Here is a 2,807-nt window from a genome sequence, read left to right on the forward strand (position 1 = left end):
ATACGATGGAAAAGGGGAATTTTAGGGAGCATTCAAAGGGCTTCTGTATGCACCCTTTCTTCTCTTCTCACACAATCGTATACAACTCGGTCACTTTCACAAATACAACTTCCTCCCCAGTGCTTGTCCCTCTCATGGAAAAGCTAAAGAGGCAGAGAGAGAGAAAGAGTGAGAGGGTGGGGGAGGCTTGGGAGGCAGAGCAAGGGGAAAGGAGATGCAATGGGGAAACAGAAGGGGACAGGAAGAAGAGACAGGGCCGGGGATCTGTCTTTTGTGTTTGCAGGACTGCCCCATTCTGACATAGAAAATGCTGGGGTTGGAAGGTAACTCACAAATGTCTTTGCTGAAATCTGCAGTGGAAGCAATGGTAAGAATCCACAGTGGGTTTCCTATGTGCCAGCCATGATGAATGTTCTCAGTGCTGTACATATCTCGACATTTAATCTTCTCAGCACATGTGTGAAGTCACCTTACAGACCCCATTTATAGATGGGGATCTGAGAAGTTCAGTGGCTCTACAGAGGCCATGATAGCACTTAAGACTTTCCTGTAAGAACGATGAGGAGTCAGGACTAGGATGACATGACCTGATTCAGGCTTTAAAGGATCCTCTCCACGGGTTGTAGGGGCCAGAGGGGAGACGGGACAGTGGTAGAGGTGGGTGCCTGGTGGGAGCTGCTTGAGGAGGAAATGGGAAGTGAGGAGAGGAGACAGCAAGCATGGACAAGCTCTTATGAAACATTTACATTTAAATTTTAAATAAATATTGTATATATTTAAGGTGTATATGATGTTTTGTGTGTATACTCACAGTGGACTGCTGACTGCAGCCAATCTACTGAACATACCCATCGGCCTGCAGTTGCCTTTCTGTGTGTGTGGTGAGAACACTTCAGATCTGCTCTCTTTGCACATTTCCTTTTCTTTTTCTTTTTCTTTTGTTTTGTTTTGTTTTGTGTTTGAGATGGGCTCTCCCTCTGTTGCCCAGGCTGGAGTGCAGTGGCACCATCTTGGCTCACTGCAACCTCTGCCTCCCAGGTATAAGCAATTCTCCTGCCTCAGCCTCTCAAGTAGCTGGGACTACAGGCGCACGCCGCCATGCCCGGCTAAGTTTTTATGTTTTAGTAGAGATGGGGTTTCACTGTGTTTCCCAGGCTGATCTCGAACTCCTGAGCTTAGGCAATCCACCCACCTCGGCCTCCCAAAGTGCTGGGATTACAGGCGTGAGCCACCATCCCCTGCCCTTCTCTTTGCACATTTCAAGCATACAACACATGATTAGCTACAGTCACCATGCTGTACCTCGGGCCTGCAGAACTTACTCCTCCTGTAACCCTGAAACTTCATGGCCTTTGACCAGCATTGCCCCAGGACCCCACCCCAGGCCCTGGCAGCCACCCTTCTCCTCTCTTCCTAAGGATTCGACTTTTTAATTATTCTACATAGAAGTGAGATGAAGACATGGCGAGGGCTTTCAGAAGTTTTGATGTGAGAAGGTGTGGAGGGGGAGTGCATAGGGAGTATTTTGATGTGAGAAGGTGTGGAGGGGGAGTGGATAGGGAGTGAGTGGGGCCTGCCTTTTTGGAAAAGACCTCGTGGGTAGGTAACTTGTTTGTGGATGAGAGTATCCAGCAGAAAGCGTGGGCTCGGTCAACAGGTCACAGTGCAGCGGAGATGGACACACATTCCTGAGCAGGCAGGGGGCGGATCCTGAGCACTAGAGGAGAGGGTGACCTTGGCCAGAATGGCGAGACAGCAGGCACAGCTGTAGGGAGGCCATAGCCTGGTGGAGGGAAGATGAGGGCCTGCCTCTTGATTGCATATTTTCTCACGGAAGTACGAGGCAATCTTATTTTAGTCTGATATATAAACAATTGTGTAACTGCTCCAATATCTGAGCTACCCCAGTGAATTAGGAGAGTGTATTTGACATATGAGCATGACTGACAGGGCTCACTAAAGCCATGCCACCCAGCCTAAAGAGGACCAGCCAAGGACTCAAATGTACCTCCCACCCATAAAGCCAAAGGAAGCACATTTCCAGTCTACATTTCCCATTTGGGCCCACTTTTCAGTCTTCAAGGAAATATTTTGAAATCCATTTGTAGAACACCTCCACTTGCACAAAAAGCCCCACAGTAACGATTGGCACAGAGCTGGTGCTCAGTAAGACTCTCCTTGAGATTTTTATTGTCTTCATAATAAAAGATGACACTTAGAACGGGATCACTTGGCCCTTTCTCTTCTTATCTCCTCCCAGTTCAAAATGCTTGCATCTTTTAATAGCCAGCATTCTCTTGGATCTGCAGTTGGGCTCAACGCACTCAAGCCTTAGCACAGTATTCTTTGTAGTTTTAGCCTTTTTCTGGAAAATCGGCTTAGTCTGCCCACCATAGCCACTCTGCTTCCTGTTATAACGCCACTTTCCCTGGGCATACAGAGAATCCTTGCCCTTCTTGTACTGTGTCACTTTGTGGGGTTGGTGCTTGCCACACTTCTTACAGAAAGTCTGGTGGGTTTTAGGGACGTTAACCATGCTTGCGTGAGCGCTATCGGCACGGCAAGAAAGAAGAGGTGCCGGAAACGGAAGTATCTTCTTTTGCTTTTTGAGACACAGTCTCACTGTGTCACCCAGGCTGGAATGCAGCAGTGCAAACTTGGCTCACTACTGCGTCGACCTCTCAGGCTCCACCAATCCTCCTGCCTCAGCCTCCCGAGTAGCTGGGACTACATGGATGTGCCACCATGCCCAGCTAATTACTGTATTTTCTGTAGTGATAGGGTTTTGCCATGTTGCCCAGGCTGGT

General features: G+C 48.5%; 1 pseudogene; it reads right to left on the bottom strand.

Moving 5' to 3' along the window:
- RPL36AP49 (ribosomal protein L36a pseudogene 49) lies at nt 2,186-2,569 on the bottom strand (annotated as a pseudogene).

The sequence above is a fragment of the Homo sapiens genome, chromosome 18 (assembly GCF_000001405.40).
Source record: "Homo sapiens chromosome 18, GRCh38.p14 Primary Assembly".
Taxonomy (NCBI): Eukaryota; Metazoa; Chordata; class Mammalia; order Primates; family Hominidae; genus Homo; species Homo sapiens.